Source organism: Homo sapiens, chromosome 12 (assembly GCF_000001405.40).
Source record: "Homo sapiens chromosome 12, GRCh38.p14 Primary Assembly".
NCBI classification, from domain to species: domain Eukaryota; kingdom Metazoa; phylum Chordata; class Mammalia; order Primates; family Hominidae; genus Homo; species Homo sapiens.
The window spans coordinates 42,494,995-42,512,320 of record NC_000012.12 but is presented as its reverse complement, the minus strand read 5'-3'; the positions used below and the strand labels follow the sequence as shown (position 1 = coordinate 42,512,320).

The following is a 17,326-nucleotide window of genomic DNA, read 5'->3' as shown; positions in this document are numbered from 1 at the left end:
CGCACACCTGTAGTCCCAGCTACTCAGGAGGCTGAGGCACAAGAATTGCTTGAACCTGGGAGGCAGAGGTTGCAGTGAACTAAGATCACGCCACTGCACTCCATCCTGGGTGACAGAGCAAGATTCTGTCTCCAAAAAAACCAAAACACATATCTGTCCATATCTGGAAACTTTGTCTGAACCCTATCTTTTTTTTTTGTAATGGGACCATCCTTTGGGGCATTCAGGCACATCACTGGAGCTGAAGCAAGGACAAGAACCTGGAAAGAACTAGGGAAGGTTGCTTGAATAGCACAACCCCAGAGGGGTAGAATGATGGTGTAAGGGGAGTCAGATGCAGATCACGGCCTCACAGTCCTCACAGTCCATTAGTCCTTAGCAAAGCCAAGCTCTTTGCAAAATACAAAAGATTCCCTATAATAATGGGAGACTGTTTCCTTGTTTTTTCAAGCATTCTTTGCATCCTAGAAATGTACAGAGCACAATATCTAGCTTTGAGAAGTAAAGAAAACCTTTCAAGTAAACCTTTGTTCCAGAAGAGATCAAGCTGTTCCCTATTCATCCCCTGCTTCCAGCATCTAGGTGGCTGGGTTTCTTGGAAATAATACTCTTTATACATGTCTCTAATACACATCTCCAAGCAAGGGCTAGGAAAACTCAAGGGTAAGCCTTCAATAATTTTCACAGACATTGGATTTCCATACCCCCCTCTCCTGTGGAACCTGATTTGGGAAAGTAGGTTTTCATTTTTAATTTTCAGGGAAGTTAAACAAACAAGGCCAATGGATCAGAGCACCCACCACAAGGCCAGACCCTCAGAGGAAATTCAATAAATACTACTTTCTGTTAATCTCATACCTGGAGGCTTTCTCTTTGCATCCTGCAAGCCAGTATAGTCTTTTATTCTTATTTTTATCCACATCTGCAAAATTCATGTGGACACCTGCAGATTACTCTGGGTTATCTGCAGACATACTTCTTTCTTTCCCTCTCTCTAATTACGTGCTAAGGATGCAGCCCCTGAAGCTCAACTTCCATTTCTCCAGCAGTCTCCTCACCCTTGTAGAATAATGAGACCCTGTCTTTTGAGAGTGCAGTGTTTAAAGTAAATGGTGTTTAAACTGAAGTTTCCCTCTGGTTTTATTGGTAAAGACAGAATCCTTGACTGCCCTGCAGGCACAGTGCCCTTGACTCTTCTGGCTGGTTTTATTGTGGGAGAGCTGTTGGAACCTGTGTGTAAACATCACAGTGAGGGGCACACCCAGGGCATCCCCTGTGCTGGGCCTGCTTCTTTTGAAGTGTCTGGTGATTGTACCATTGTCATGCCAGTTGGAGGAGTCCTTTTGTTTTACAATGGCAAAGCTCTGAAGAGCCAGCTGATAAGACTTGGGACCCTGGTGTGAAACTGACCCTTTGAACTAGGAAGAACCTTTTCAGATAAGCAAGCCTTGGCATTTTTATCACACAACTTTTTATTAGAGCTTTTAACAGAGCAGGTTAGTGTCCTTACTAGGCACATACATAAAGGTTTTTCAAGCTCTTCCGTAATAACACAGACATAGGACATAGCCTCCATTTTTACGAAGATGCAAACCTTCCAATTGCCCATCTCAATAAAGATCTTTGGGAAAATAGCATCAATTTTGGGAATTCATTGATAGTTATTCATTAAAAAAGATTAATTATACCAGGAATAAAATACAAATGAAAGCCAATTAAAAACCTTTAAAAAAAAAGTTATGCTTTCTCCCTTAAAAATGCTCTTTGTTTGTTTGTTTTTCAAAATTTAATCAAGACAGGGTCTTGCTATGTTGCCCAGGTTGGTCCTCAAACTCCTGGCCTTAAGCAGTTCTCCCACCTTGGCCTCCCAAAGTGCTGGGATTGCCCACATAAGCCACTGTGCCCAGACTTTAAAAATTGTCTTAATAGCCGAGCACAGTGGCTCACACCTGTAATCCCAGCACTTTGGGAGGCAGAGGCGGGTGGATCACAAGATCAGGAGATCAAGACCATCCTGGCTAACATGGTGAAACCCCATCTCTACTAAAAATACAAAAAATTAGCCGGGCCTGGTGGCGGGCGCCTGTAGTCCCAGCTACTCAGGAAGCTGAGGCAGGAGAATGGCGTGAACCCAGGAGGCGGAGCTTGCAGTGAGCAGAGATGGCGCCACTGCACTCCAGCCTGGGCGACAGAGGGAGACTCCGTCTCAAAAAATAAAAAAATTGTCTTAATAATCTTTTTTTTTTTTGAGACAGAGTCTCGCTCTGTCACCCAGGCTGGAGTGCAGTGGCATGATCTTGGCTCACTGCAGTCTCCACCTTGCGGGTTCAAGCAATTCTCCTGCATCAGCCTCCTGAGTAGCTAGGATTCCAAGTGTGTGCCAACATTCCTGGCTAATTTTTGTATTCTTAGTAGAGACAGGGTTTCACCATGTTGGCCAGGCTGGTCTCGAACTCCTGGCCTCATGATCCGCCTGCCTCAGCCTTCCAAAGTGCTGGGATTACAGGTGTGAGCCACCTCGCCGGGCCATGATTTTGATAATCTTTTGGACAAATTGACATGAGCTATTTCTTAGTAAAGGCCATTAGTAGAGCAGTAAGTAGAAAAATATAGTAAGTGGTAGTCTTATATTATTATTATTATTGTTATTAAGGACGAGGTCTTGCTATGTTGCCCAAGCTGGTCATTCAGTCATTCAGGTACTCAACAAACCTTTGTCCAGTTCCTTCTATGTGTTGCTGCACTGAGCATGGTGCTCTGGTTCTCCATCCTCCAAAGTCGTCCCACCCAGCAGAGACCACAGACATCAAACAGACAACTAAAATAAAGGGTGAGCAGAATAAGGCAGGGAAGTGATGGTGCTGTGGGAGCATCCTTTTTGATATGGAAAGACCCTTGGAACTTAATTCTGGAGTGTGCTTTAAAGGAAGAATTTTATTTTCCTTTTTCAATAGTTCTTTGAGAGTTTCCATGTTTTATATTCAATTTTGCTTTCCAACTTTTCCTTCATGTTAGCCTAAATGCGTCTCTAGGCAGTTTCCCAAAATAGAATTTTCCATTTCAGACTAAGGAACTACAGATGAGATCGAGAATTTAGGGTAAATGCCTTAGCACTTGCATTTGAAGTTTAATACTGTCTAAACCCCACGGAGACAAAAAGTCCTTGTGTGGCTGCTCAGACTGTCAGGCCCATCACCGGCTGTGGTCTCCTCTGCGAGTACAGGGCCCAGAAGACTGGCAGGCTGCTGTTCTCAAAGGAACCACATGCAATTGTTTCTACTTCATCACTCTGGGGTGGAGCAACAGGTTCTAAAATAGCTTTTGGGTTTAAACTGGCCCCTATATATACAACTGACCTTTATTCCTAGGGTTTATAAACTGAAGGAATCAGAGAATTATAGGATTTCATAGCCAAAAGAACTTAGAGATCATCTGCCGCTGTGTAGATGAGAAACTGAGGTCCCCAGGGTAAAGGTCTTCTAGCCAGTTAGTGGTAGAAGCAGAACTACAGTGACAAGCCCTGTTCGTCTCCATTCCAGAATCAGAATAGAGCGCCACAATCTCCAAGCACCCTGAAAGTGCATCCCTCTCCCCTTCTTCCTTTCCACTGCTTCTGGTACCTGTCTGCCCACCTGTGTCTAAAGCCAGGCAATTTTGAAATACTTTCTATGTGTTCAACCTAAAGCAAATTTCTTTTCATATATATATGTATTTTTTCTTTTACCTCTAAGAAATAAAGCTATTTATGAAGCAGTTCCTTATCAATGAGTCCTGTTGATGAATTTTACATTTCTAATTTGGTGTATGTTATATACCCGTGTATAAAACAGTTGAGCCCAGACCAATAAATGTTATCCTGAGAACTGCAGTAGGGATTTACAGATTTATTACCACTTGCCTTCTTTTTTTCTTAAACAGTAGCTCACTTGTGAGAATTACATTGCACATAATGTTCAGGCCTACTTGAATTTTAAGCCAAAAAAGTTTAAAGTAATGGTATAGGATATTCTAATAGGAAGGGATGTTGTGCTAAGGTTATTGCCGATATAATAAAGCTCCTAGTGCCTTGAAGCAGTATGAGCGTGGAGGATCCTTTATAAAAAATACTTAGTCTAAGGCCAACATTTCACCCCCTTTCCCTTTTCCTGTTCCCCCCTCCTTCTCAAAGCCACATTCTCTATTCTTTCCATTTTCCACTAGAGCCCTTATAAAAGAATTATCTTTTCATGAGTTCTTAAAAATATAAAAATGGTATCTAAATCGCCATTGAAATATATGTTCACTATTGCTTGTTTGTGTAGTTAACTTTTATAAAACCCCAAAAAGGGCAAATTGATGGATTAATCCAAATGAGATTGACATCGTTGCATTTTATATCCTGATAAAATCACACAGGAACAGGAGCTATAATCTTATACTGTGTATCCTCCAATATGTGTTTATCTTATTCTCTGGCTAATGAGGAAAAATTAACATTGTCAATACTGCGATTGAAGCTGGAGATAAGCTTATGTCTAGTCTATCACATGACTGACTATAGTCATCTTCTGTTTCTCTGCATTAAATCAACACAGATGCTTTGGCTTTATAAATGTCAGTCAACATCATTTAGGCTCTGCCGCCTGCTCAGTGCAATGCAACCTTCATTGACTGTATGATGGGGAATGGAGGTTAGTTCCTCCAGAAGAATTCTTCCTTACAATAATGTGATCATAACAGCTCAAAAAAAAGTTCTTCCATATAATAAATCAGAAGACTGAGCAAGTGAAAAGCTATAGAACTGGTGCAAGGAGAAAGGAATAATGTTACAACAGAGAGGAGCAAGAGATACAATTGTGAACAGATGGAATCATTTGTCAGTGGTCACTTTAGGGCAAATAACAAGTTGTGGTGTCCCAGTGAGTTAGGGTATGTTTAGTTCAAAAGGGTTCAAAACCCTTTCCATCTTTTGTCTGTAAGAGTCATTGTTTTAATTGTTTTTCTGCTTTGTCTACACAACTTGATCTGCTTAGTATTTTCAGTAACTATCCCCTATCCCCCAAATGACACGTGATCTGCCTGCTATGTGTCAGTCCGTGTGCCGGAACACTAATGAACACTCAGAACGCAGGGAGACAGCAGCTGCCCAGCAGCCTTCAAGTTTCAACAGCCCTACCCAGAAGGACAGCAGTTAATTTACATCCAGGGGAGCAGCACTCACCTCAAAAGCTTCATGAACATACAGCTTTTGCATAAGAAATGTGTTGAAATTGCAGAAACTATGCATAATTAAAATTAAGCCTTGCATGTCCCCCAAATAATGGGTTTAGATATTAGATGATGAAATGGCCTTGATTTCTATATTTCTCATTTTGTTTTTCTAACCCCTCCTACAAACATTTTAGAGAAACCATAATATTCAAAGGTTTTGTGGCTCAAAACCAGTACCACAAGCTATGCCAAAAGAACATGGCCAGGTGCGGTGGCTCACACCTGTAATCCCAACACTTTAGGAGGTCGAGGCGGGTAGATCACAAGGTCAGAAGTTCAAGACCAGCCTGGCCAAGATGGTGAAACACCGTCTCTACTAAAAATACAAAAATTAGCCGGGCATGGTGGTGGGTACCTATAATCCCAGCTGCTCAGGGCTGAGGTAGAGAGTTGCTTGAACCCGGGAGGCAGAGATTGCAGTGAGCCAAGATCGTGCCACTGCACTCCAGCCTGGGCGACAGAGTGAGACTGTCTCAAAAAAAAAAAAAAAAAAAAAAAAAAAAGAACACTATTGAGCTGGGCGCGGTGGCTCACGTCTGTAATCCCAACACTTTGGGAGGCCGAGGTGGGTGGGTCACCTGGGGTCAGGAGTTCAAGACCACACTGGCCAACATGGTGAAACCTCATCTCTATTAAAAATGCAAAAATTAGCTGGGAGTGGTGGTGGGTGCCTATAATCCCAGCCACTTAGGAGGCAGAGGCAGAAGAATCGCTTGAACCCAGGAGGCAGAGTTTTCAGTGAACCCAGATCACGCCATTGCACTGCAGCCTAGGCAACAGAGAGAGACTCCATCTCAAAAAAAAAAAAAAAGAAAGAAAGAAAAAAGAACATTTTTTACTTATATAATTAATGAAGTTAACTTTCATTTGAGAAAGACATCTTAGCTCAGATGGGTCAAATCCCTAAAATCACTTCCCCTTCGGAACTTTTCATAAAAGTCCTGAGAGTCACTCAGCAACATGGGTGCTTGATACGCAACCTTGAAGACTTTGCGATGTCCGGGTAGAATTTCGCCTTAACCAACTAATGAATGAAAACTTAAAATAACTTTTTGTTCTTATTCCACAACGTTACCACTTTTTTAGGAGAGCTGGTAACCAAAGTGAATGATGTCTGTAGACCAGTAGTTCCTACACCTAGGTACAAATTGCAGTTATCTATGGAGACTACATTAAATGCAAATTTCTGGATCCTAATTCAGAGTTACTGAGTCAAAATCTGTAGGGATATGATTGAGGCTTCTGTGTAGTTTAAGAGGCTTTCCAGGTGATTCTTACATTGCCAGTCCACTCAGCATCAATTGCTGTTGGAGCACAACTAACAAATGCAACCTGGGCCGGGCTCAGTGGCTTACACCTGTAATCCCAGTATTTTGGGAGGCTGAGGCAGGTGGATAACCTGAGGTCAGGAGTTTCAGACCAGCCTGACCAATATAGTGAAACCCTATCTCTACTAAAAATACAAAAATTAGCTGGACATGGTGGTGCGTGCCTGTAGTCACACCTACTCTGGAGGCTGAGACAGGAGAATTGCTTGAATCCAGAAGGCAGAGGTTGCAGTGAGCCGAGATCACACCACTGCACTCCAGCCTGGGCAACAGAGTGAGACTCTGTCTCAAAACAAAAACAAAAACAAAAAAACAAAGGCAACCTAATTCCCATGCATCATATCTAATAGCAAGTGCTGTTGCCTTATTCTACAAATAGAATGTTTTAATCCATTTAAATGACATTTTTAGAATACCTGTGGAGGACAAAACTGTTCCACCTTTGCTGAATTACTGGCCTCCAGCCCAAACACTCACACAAATCCAGATCCATCTACCCACACAGATACATGGCCAAGGGGTGGACCCTTTGCAATCATAATGGATCCTAACCCCAGAACTGTGAAGTAGCCGTGTTTTTGTTGTTTTTTGTTTTTTGTTTTTTGAGATGGAGTCTCACTCTGTTGCCCAGGCTGGAGTGCAGTGGCACAGTCTAGGCTCACTGCAACCTCCACCTCCTGGGTTCAAGTGATTCTCCTGCCTCAGCCTCCGAGTAGCTGGGTCTACAGGTGCCCGCCACCACGCTCGGCTAATTTTTGTATTTTTAGTAGAGACCGGGTTTCATCATGTTGGTCAGGCTGATCTCAAACCCCTGACCTGGTGATCCACCCGCCTTAGCCTCCCAAAGTGCTAGATTACAGGCATGAGTGACCGTGCCCAGCTAAGTGACCATGTTTTAACCTTACAGAACAATGAGCCATAAAGTCCTGTCTGTCTGCAACGAGAGAAAAATAAAGTGTTAAACCAGAAATTAGCAGAGACAGGAATGGAGAAAGAATGCTGTCTAAATGTCCGGGGGTTTTCCATTTCTGAATTATAGCCATTTTTTGAAGCTCAGCTGCATTCCCGCCCTTGTGTTAGCCTGAGACACCTCTGTATCCTTCCAATGAATTATTGCCCCTCACCATTTTCCCCCTAAGTTACTTTGGTTTCTGTTACTTACAGCCACAGAGCACTAACTAATACAAATCTCATTCAGCAGTTTCAACAAAACTCATTTTACATCAACAGTAGCTCCCTCATACACCTACTAAGCTTGGGTGCTGCAAAAGGAGAGAAGCAACACATTTGTAGAGTCAGTTCCAGAGCAACGCTAGTTCCGTGCAGATTTTTCTGCCCACTAAATGTGCTTTTTGGAGGCAGGTATTCTTTGATTCCCCAGTCAGAGTATTTTCCTTAAAGTCACTTGAATTATAACTAAGCAGTTTCCCTGTACTCTGCCCACCAAATATTCCTGAGTAAGAAGTTTCTTTTCTTGGCACCATGCCCAGGACTCACATCCAGGAGTGGTGCCTCTGAGCCTTTTCTGGCCTCTATTTTCAGAAATCTGCAATCAACTGCTAACATCCCCTGCTTGTTACGGGTCCTCACGTTTTATGATACAGAATTTTCCTCAGACCTCGCTCTTCTTCATATCTCATTTTCCTCCCTTTTTTAAACCATCCACAGAGTTGATATTCTGGTATCATTTAGAACTTCTAAAATCCACATATGATTTTTGTGAGGAAGTGGGTTTTTGATTCTGTTTTTTTGCCACAGACCTAGAATTTAAGCTAAAGTTGGTCTCAAACCACTTTTCCCCAAGAATTCCCTTTGCTACTTAACTAAATAACCAGAACCCGCTTTTTGAATTATAGGCAGATTCATGATGGGAGGACACTGGGAGGAATTTCGGGAGATTACAGGAACCTCAGGTGTGACCTAGCATTCATCCCTTTATTAAGTGAGTTGGAAAAGGTATAAAGAAGGTGAGGAGGTAAATCAGATTCCCATAGCTGAGAATTACCCCAATGGCTAGGGATATTCATATATGAATTATTTTTGTGCATTCACCCTTCTATGACTATAAGACTCAGAAGAGAAATCAGCTTTCTTAATTTTTACTTTAGTGCTTTCCTTAGAACAAGTATTGAAGTCAGTGGCTCTTGTTTGTTTTGTGTGTGTATGTTACACTGAAGAGCTCAAATAGACCATCTCTCATGATCATTCTGTAAGGTCTGTGTTCTTTTCTCAGTAGTTACTTTAGTTAAGATTTGTATTGTGATAGTCTATTTTGGGAAAATTCCGGGGATTTTAGTGTGTCTTAATTTCTTTACTACCCAGCACTGCAAAGAATCTATCCCCTTGTGTACAATGAGTGTGCGGGAAGTCTGGACATGCTCATCCCAGGTGGGAGTAACTAAGCCCAGGACTTTACTAGATAAGTAACAGGTGTGAAATGTTGTCAAAAGGCTCTTCTCTTTGACAGCTGAATTGAGCCATAAAATTTTTAAATAATTTATGCAAGTCTGCAGGAGCCCAGATATAGATTGTTAATCCAAGGCTCAGAATGCACAAGTGTTGATTTCACAGTGAAATGCTTAAAAGTTAATTTTTGTATTGCGTCTCTTATCTTTGGCCTAGGTGAAAATATTCAGATTGCCCCACAAGTCCAAATTGATTTAGTAAACTATTACCCATGGACTTAACATGTTCTGTTTGTTCTTAAGTAGAATCAGAGTTTATCGTAATCATATGTTTCCGTTTACATTTTAAAATATTACAAGATGGCCAAGACCAGGGTTAAGAAACCTTTAAAACATCTTTAATTTCAGCTTAACTGCAAGTTTGCATACTCTTCTTGGAAGCTGGATTTTTCCTCCTCAAAAAGAGAGAAGCAAAGCAACATGTGGTTTGTTACATTCGTTGCTCTTCTTAGCCTGTTTTGCATTAGGAGGTTATGGAAACCTAAAACTGAAAGCTCCATAAAGAAAAACCTTACAGGGAAGGAAAGAAATAGAGAAAAAAAGACATCTAAGACTCGGCCCTTTCCCGCGTCTGCTCTGAAAATACATTCCAGTGTAAAATGTGCATCCTTGGTAGTTGAAAGTAGAAAGGAGAAGAGAATAAATATTTTTTTTAAAAAACCACACAAGCCAGACATGGTGGTTCATGCTTGTAACCCCAACACTTTGAGAGGCCAAGGCAGGAAGATTGCTTGAGCCTACAAGTTCAAGATCAGCCTGGGCAAGACAGTGAGACACCTGTCTCTACAAAAAAAATACAAAAATTAGCCAGGCATGGTGATGTGTGCTCATGGTCCCAGCCACTTGGGAGGCTGAGGCAGGAAGATTGCTTGAGCCCAGGAGTTTGAGGCTGCAGTGAGCTTTGATCGTGCCACTGCACTCCAACTTGGACAACAGAATGAGACCCTGTCTCAAAAAAAAAGAAAAGAAAAGAAAAGAAAAACAAATATATATCTATATATATATATGTAGGTATATATATATAGGTGTGTATATATATAGAGGTATATGTATAGGTGTGTGTATATATATAGGTGTGTGTGTATATATGTATAGGTGTGTGTGTGTATATATATATAGGTGTATATACATATATACCTATAAAGTACTCCGGTTAAGTAGGCCTTGTATTTACCCTTCTGAGACAAAACACAAACAGAAAACTATAAATGTCCATTCATTCCAGGCCATTCTGTAAATTAACTGTCACACCTATTGACGGGCTTCTAGAAGTAGCATGGCAAAAGTCCCAGCCCACCTTCTTCGAATTGCTCCTAGCAGTGTTGATGGCAACAGTGAGTGTTTTCCTCACAAGCACAGAAAATTTGCAGTACAGATAATGCACTAGCAGTTGTCTTGAATTATTTTTCCCCTTATAATTCCACTATTAATTAAATTTGTTATTTATATAGCATCAGCATCATAATGCCTGGATGTTTCAAGGATCCCAAATATTTATGTGTGTGATCATCATATTTATTCTCCCTAAGAAATCTCTTAATTAGGCATGAGAAACTGAATGACAAGCATTTTTCTGTAGTAGATTTTAATTTGCCTGACTGTATGGGGGAAAAAAAAGCCACTTCATGAAAGATATTCGTAGGAATCAGTTGCATGTTAGGGAAGGTCATTTTAAAGGTTACTGGAAAGGCAAGAAGATGATCATAAATGTTGCTTGTATAGGAATTTGCTCTCCTCTTTTCTTTTCTTTTTTTTTTTTTTTTTTTTTTGAGATGGAGTCTTACTCTGTTACCAGGCTGGAGTGCAGTGGCACGATCTTGGCTCACTACAACCTCCCCTTCCCGGGTTCAAGCGATTCTCCTACCTCAGCCTCCTGAGTAGCTGGGACTACAGGCACGCGCCTCCATGCCCAGCTAATTTTTGTATTTTTACAAAATACAAAACATGGGGTTTCACCATGTTGGCCAGGATGGTCTCAATCTCTTGACCTCATGATCTGCCTGCCTCATCCTCCCAAAGTGCTGTGATTACAAGCATGAGCCACCGCACCCGGCCTTGCTCTCTTCTTTTATGTTTTGAGCGGTGGCTCCATTTACAGAGATTGTCTAGCCATATCATTGGATTCTTTCAAAAAACCTTTAGACTGTTCAGATCCTTAAAATGTGATGTCATAAAATGATTTCCTAAATCATACTTTTAGTCTTCATTAAATCGCTCCCACCAAACCCACTTTTCCAATAGGTAGAAGCATTTCAGAGATTGCTGGAATCTTGTTAGAATTTCTTGAAAGAAAAGCTGATAAGTTCAGAAATGGTTGACCATGGAAATGTGATCTAGTCTATTATAAAAGTAACAATGTACTCAGCTGTCTTTAATTGGAACTAGAGTTTGTGTTAAGTAAAAATGTTTGGTCTTCAGCAGAAAGTAGATTGTCTTTACAAGCCCATGTGATACGAGTTCTAATAGTCTCCTATTATTTGAGCTCATCTGCAATAAATTTTTGTTTGGGGACATATTGTTAGAATTGCCCAGATATGCTGCTAGAAAGAATATTAATTCTATTGCTTTTTTTTCATTTGTTGAAACTGAAAGATTTTAGTAAAAAAAAAAAAAGAAAATTAATGAAAAATGTATTATAGTGCTATGAGTTGAGCTATAATCAATTTTGTCTGAAAAGTTTGTTAATGGCTGCATTACTTCATTGCCTTCAGGATATCATGTGAGATACGTTCAGTAGAATGCGTTACACACAAACTAACAACTGAACCATGCTCATGGTCTCTCTTTTGTTCAGCATAATCTGCATTTAAGTGGAAGAGGTGATGGTTGGGTTGCTGAACTCATCCAAGAGTGCTGTCTTTGACTAAGTGCTTAGTACGTACTGATACTGGTAATGCCTAATAGGCAACAGAGCAACTATTATATAAAGATCTTCAAATACAGGCTAGTTTTGTTGTATTTGGACAATAAAATGATTTTGTATCTATAGAAATTAAGATGGTACAATGAACTGCTTCAGAAAGCTCAGGGTGTCATTTGTCTGATTATCTCCAGGGTTGGTGTGTGTGTTGGAGGGTCCCCTATGTTTTGGCCTTTGTGCTGTATAACTCTTTGGTCCGAAAGGCCAGCAAAGCCAAAATATTGTCATTGAGCTCCCCTAAATGAGACTGACAATCATTGCTTCATTTCTGGCTGAAATAATATGGTATTAAAAATTTCTAGGCCGTGGATGGGCACGGTGGCTCATGCCTGTAATCCCAGCCCTTTGGGAGGCCAAGGCAGGTGGATCACTTGAGGTCAGGAGTCCGAGACCAGCCTGGCCAACATGGTGAAAACTCATCTCTACTAAAAAAAATAAAAATAAGAATAAAAAACTACAAAAATTAGCCAGGCATGGTGGCAGGCCCTTGTAATTCCAGCTAATTGGGAGACTGAGGCAGGAGAATCGCTTGAACCCGGGAGGCAGAGGTTGCAGTGAGCCAAGATCAGTCCACTGCACTCCAGCGTGGGCAACAGAGCAAGACTCTGTCTCAAATAAATAAATAAATAAATTTCTAGGCCAGACACGGTGGCTCATACCTGTAATCCCAGCACTTTGGGAGGCCGTGGTGGATGGATCACCTGAGGTCAGGAGTTCAAGACCAGCCTGGCCAACATGGTGAAACCTCGTCTCTACTAAAAATACAAAAATGAGCCGGGTGTGGTGGCATGTGCTTATAGTCCCAGCTACTCAGGAGGCTGAGGTAGGAGAATTGCTTGAACCTGGGAGGTGGAGGCTACAGTCAGCTGAGATCGTACCACTGCACTCCAGCCTGGGCAACAGAGCAAGACTCTAAAAAAAAAAAAAAAATTCTAGATTTATTCTACTTACATTCTTGTGATGCTGCCAAGAGAAAAGCCAGGAAAAGCAAAGCATATTATTTTGCTATTTATAGGAAGCTCTACTTTAAAAACAAATAGTCATTTAGAGCATCAGCTTTGGTGTCAGACCAAGGTTTGAATATAGGCTCCTTCCCAAATTACCTGATAACTTTATACAATTTATCTTACTTTTCTCCTTTGTAAAATGGGAAAATAAGATCCACCTTATGTTGTTATAAGGATTTTTTTTTAAATGTACATGATTTAGTACAATGCCTAGCATATGAGTACTCCATAAGTTATAGCAGGTATAATAATGAGAGAGGTTCATTTGGCACTATTGTGTTCTTACTCAATCTATCACCAAAGATAAAGTAGTGACATCACACTGTATGTGAAAAATGACTCAGAATTCTAATACATACTTGAGTTCTCATGCTGTTAGTTTTGGGACTGATGGAGAGTTCTGGAGCAGTGAGAGCTCAGTGTGGAAGCCCTTGGTCTGATGGGGCTTCAGGGAACATTTCCTGGATCCATCCTGAACAAAGTCTTGAAGTAAGAGTTAGGTTAACAAAAGCAAGTGATTAGATGGCTCCAAGTAGAAGAAACAGCAGAATGAAACATATGGGTGGAAACTACCAGTTCTACAGCCTGAAAGTGAGGTCTGACTAATGATGGAGACAGAGCTAGAGGATCAGTAGGGACTGGAAATGGACGGGCTTCTTTGTAAAGAGTCTTAATTTTATCTCACGAAGGTTTTGGAAAAACTGAAGAAGGGATTTTGTTTTTTAATTTAAATAGAGACAAGGTTTCATCCTATTGTCCAGGTTGGTCTCGATCTCCTGGGCTCAAACAATCCTCCTGCCTCAGCCTCTGAAAGTGCTGGAATTACAGGCATGAGCCACCATGCCTGGCCCGCAGAAGAGATTTTAAAAGAAAATGAGACCAAGCACAGTGGCTCACACCTGTAATCCCAACACTTTGGGAGGCCAAGGTGGGAGGATGGCTTGAGGCCAGGAGTTCGATACCAGGCTAGACAACATGGCAAAACCCCATCTCCACTAAAAATACAAAAAATTAACCAGGGTGGTGACACACACCTATAGTCCCAGCTACTCAGCAGGGCCGGGGTGGGAGAATCACTTGAGCTCAGGAGGTCGAGGCTGCAGTGAGCCATGATCGCACCACCGCATTCTAGCCTGGGTGACAGAGCAAGACCCTGTCTCCAAAAAAAAAAAAAGAGAGAGAGAAAAGAAAAAAAGAAAATGAGACTAGGCATGGAGGCTCACACTATAATCCCAACACTTTGGGAGGCTGATGCTAGAGATCGCTTGAGGCTAAGAGTTAAGAGTTCAAGATGAGCCTGAACAACATAGTGAGACCCATCTCTATTAGAAATAAATAAATAAATAATAATTTTTTAAAAGAGAATGGCATCATTAGATTTGTGGTGTCCAGTGAAGAATGAACATAGGGATGGGCAGACCTGAGGGAGTGAGTTAGGCTGCGGTCGTGTCCAGGGTGGGGACATGGGCAGGCAGCAGCCGTAGGAGTAGGGAGGAAAGATACCAGCATGCTTCGTTTTACTGCACACTGCTGTATCATGCTTCACAGATACTGCGTTGTGGCAATCCTGTGTCAAGCAAGTCTACCAGCACCATTTATTCTGACACCATGTGCTCACTTCGTGTCTCTGTGTCACATTTTGATAATTCTAGCAATATTTCAAACTGCTTCATTATTTTTATATCTGTGATAGTGATCTGTGATCAGTGACCTTTGATGTTACTATTTTAATTGTTTTGGGGCACCATGAACTGTGCCCATATAAGATGGCAAATTTAATCGAATTTTTTTTTTTTTTTTTTTTGAGATGGAGTCTCGCTGTCACCCAGGCTGGAGTGCAGTGGCACGATCTTGGCTCACCGCAAGCTCTGCCTCCCGGGTTCACGCCATTCGCCCACCTCAGCCTCCCGAGTAGCTGGGACTACAGGCACCCACCACCACGCCCTGCTAATTTTGTTTTTGTATTTTTAGTAGAGACAGGGTTTCACCGTGTTAGCCAGGATGATCTTGATCTCCTGACCTCGTGATCCGCCCGCCCTGGCCTCCCAAAGTGCTGGAATTACAGGCGTGAGCCACCACGCCCGGCCATCGATAAATGTTTTGTGTGTTCTGACTACTCTCCCAGATGGCCTTTCCCTCATCTTTCTCCTCCTCCTTGGCTTTCCCTATCCTCTGAGACATAGCAATATTGCAATTGGGCCAGTTAATATCCCTACAGTGGCCTGTGTGTTCAAGTGAAAGGAAGAGGCACACATCTCTCACTTTCAATCAAAAGCTAGAAATGATTAAGCTTAGTGAGTAAGACATGTTAAAAGCTGAGAGAGGCCAAAAGCTAGTCCTCTTGTGCCAAACCAGCTAGCCAAGTTGTGACTGCAAAGGAATAGTTCTTGAAGGTAATTAAAAGTGCTAATCCAGTGAACATGAATTATAAGAAAGTGAAACAGACTTATTGCTGATAGAAAGTTTTAATGGTCTGAATAGAAGATCAAACCAGCCACAACATTCCCCTAAGCCAAAGCCTAATCCAGAGCAAAGCCCTAACTCTCTTCCATTCTACAAAGGCTGAGAGAGGTGAGGAAGCTACAGAAGAAAAGTTGGAAGCTAGCAGAGGTTGCTTCATGAGGTTTCAGGAAAGAAGCCATCTCTCTAACATGAAAGTGCAAGGTGAAGTAGCGAGTGGTGATGGAGAAGCTGCAGCAAGTTATCTGGAAGATCCAGCTAAGATCACTGATGAAGGTGGCTACACTAAACAACAGATTTTCAATGCAGTTGAGTTCCTATACTGGAAGACGATGCCATCTAGGATTTTCATAGCTTGAGAGGAGAAGTTGATGCCTCACTTCCAAGTTTTGAAAGACAGGCTGACTCTCTAGTTAGGAGCTGATGCAGCTGGTGACTTTAAGTTAAAGCCATTGCTCACTGACCATTCAAAAAATTCTAGGGCCCTTAAGAATTATGCTAAATCTACTCTGTCTGTGGTCTTAAATGGAACAACATCCATATGGCTTCTGGATGACAACATATCTGTTTATAGCATGGTTTACTATTTTAAGCTGAATGTTGAGAACTACTATTCAGAAAAAAAGATTTCTTTAAAAATATTACTGCTCATTGACAAGGTACCTGGTCACCCAGGAGCTCTGATGGAGATGCACAAGATTAGTGTTGCTTTCATGCTTGCAAACACAACATCCATTCTGCAGCTCATGAATCATGGATGGTTTCATCTTTCAAGTCTTACTTTAAAAATACATTTCTTAAGGCTATAACTGCCATAGATAATGATTCCTCTGGTGGATCTGGGCAAAGTAAACTGAAAACTTTCTGCAAAAGGACTTACCACTCCAGATGCCATTAAGAACATTCATGATTCGCAGGAGGATGTTAAAATATCAACATTTTGAAGAAGTTTATTTCAACCCTCATGGAAGACTTTGAGCAGTTCAAGACTTCAGTGGGGCTGGGCGCAGTGGCTCACGCCTGTAATTCCGGCACTTTCGGAGGCCGAGGTGGGCAGATTGCCTGAGCTCAGGAGTTTGCGACCAGCCTGAGCAACACGGTGAAACCCCGTCTCTACTAAAATACAAAAAAAAAATTAGCAGGGCGTGGTGGCACGTGCCTGTAGTCCCAGCTACTCAGGAGGCTGAGGCAGGATAATCACTTGAACCCGGGAGGCGGAGGTTGCAGTGAGCTGAGATTGTGCCACTGCACCCAGCCTGGCGACAGAGCGAGACTCCATCTAAAAAAGAAAAAAAAAAAAGAAACTTCAATGGAGGATGTAACTGCAGAAATATCAAGAGAACTGGAATTAGAAGTGGAAGCCAGGTAAGGTAGCTTACACCTGTAATTTCAGCTACTTGGGAGGCTGAGGTGAGAGGCTCAGGCCAGGAGTTTGAGACCAGCCTGGGCAACATAGTGAGGTGACGCAACACCTCTCTCTCTCTCTCTCTTTTTTTTTTTTTTTTTTTTTGAGACAAGGTCTGGCTTTGTCACTTAGGCTAGAGTATGTGGTGGCACAATCTCAGTGACCTCTGTCTCCCAGGCTCAAGTGATCCTCCTGCCTCAGCCTCCCGAGTAGCTGGGACTATAGGTGCACACTACCATTCCTGGCTAATTTTTGTTTTGTTTTGTTTTGTTTTGTTTTTGTAGAGATGGGATTTCACTGTGTTGCCCAGGCTGCTCTCGAACTCTTGAACTCAAGTAATCCACCCACCCTAACTTTCCAAAGTGCTGGGATTACAGGCATGAGCAACCACGCCAAGGCCCCATCTCTTAAAAAATTTTTTTTAATTAGCCAGGCATGGAGCACATGCCTATAGTCCTAGCTACTTGGGAGGCTGATGCAGGAGGATTGCT

General features: G+C 41.9%; 1 protein-coding gene across 5 annotated transcripts in view, besides 1 other annotated feature; it reads left to right on the top strand.

The window, feature by feature from the left end:
• Nucleotides 1-17,326, top strand: part of PRICKLE1 (prickle planar cell polarity protein 1) — a 132,990-nt gene that overhangs the window by 77,426 nt on the left and 38,238 nt on the right. The window lies entirely within an intron of this gene.
• Nucleotides 936-1,683: an enhancer, noted in NCBI's record as "OCT4-NANOG hESC enhancer chr12:42904440-42905187 (GRCh37/hg19 assembly coordinates)". NCBI's record gives its function as "activates a minimal SCP1, AML or CMV promoter by ChIP-STARR-seq in naive H9 embryonic stem cells {active_cell/tissue: H9 hESC(naive)}" and the evidence as "EXISTENCE:reporter gene assay evidence [ECO:0000049][PMID:30033119]".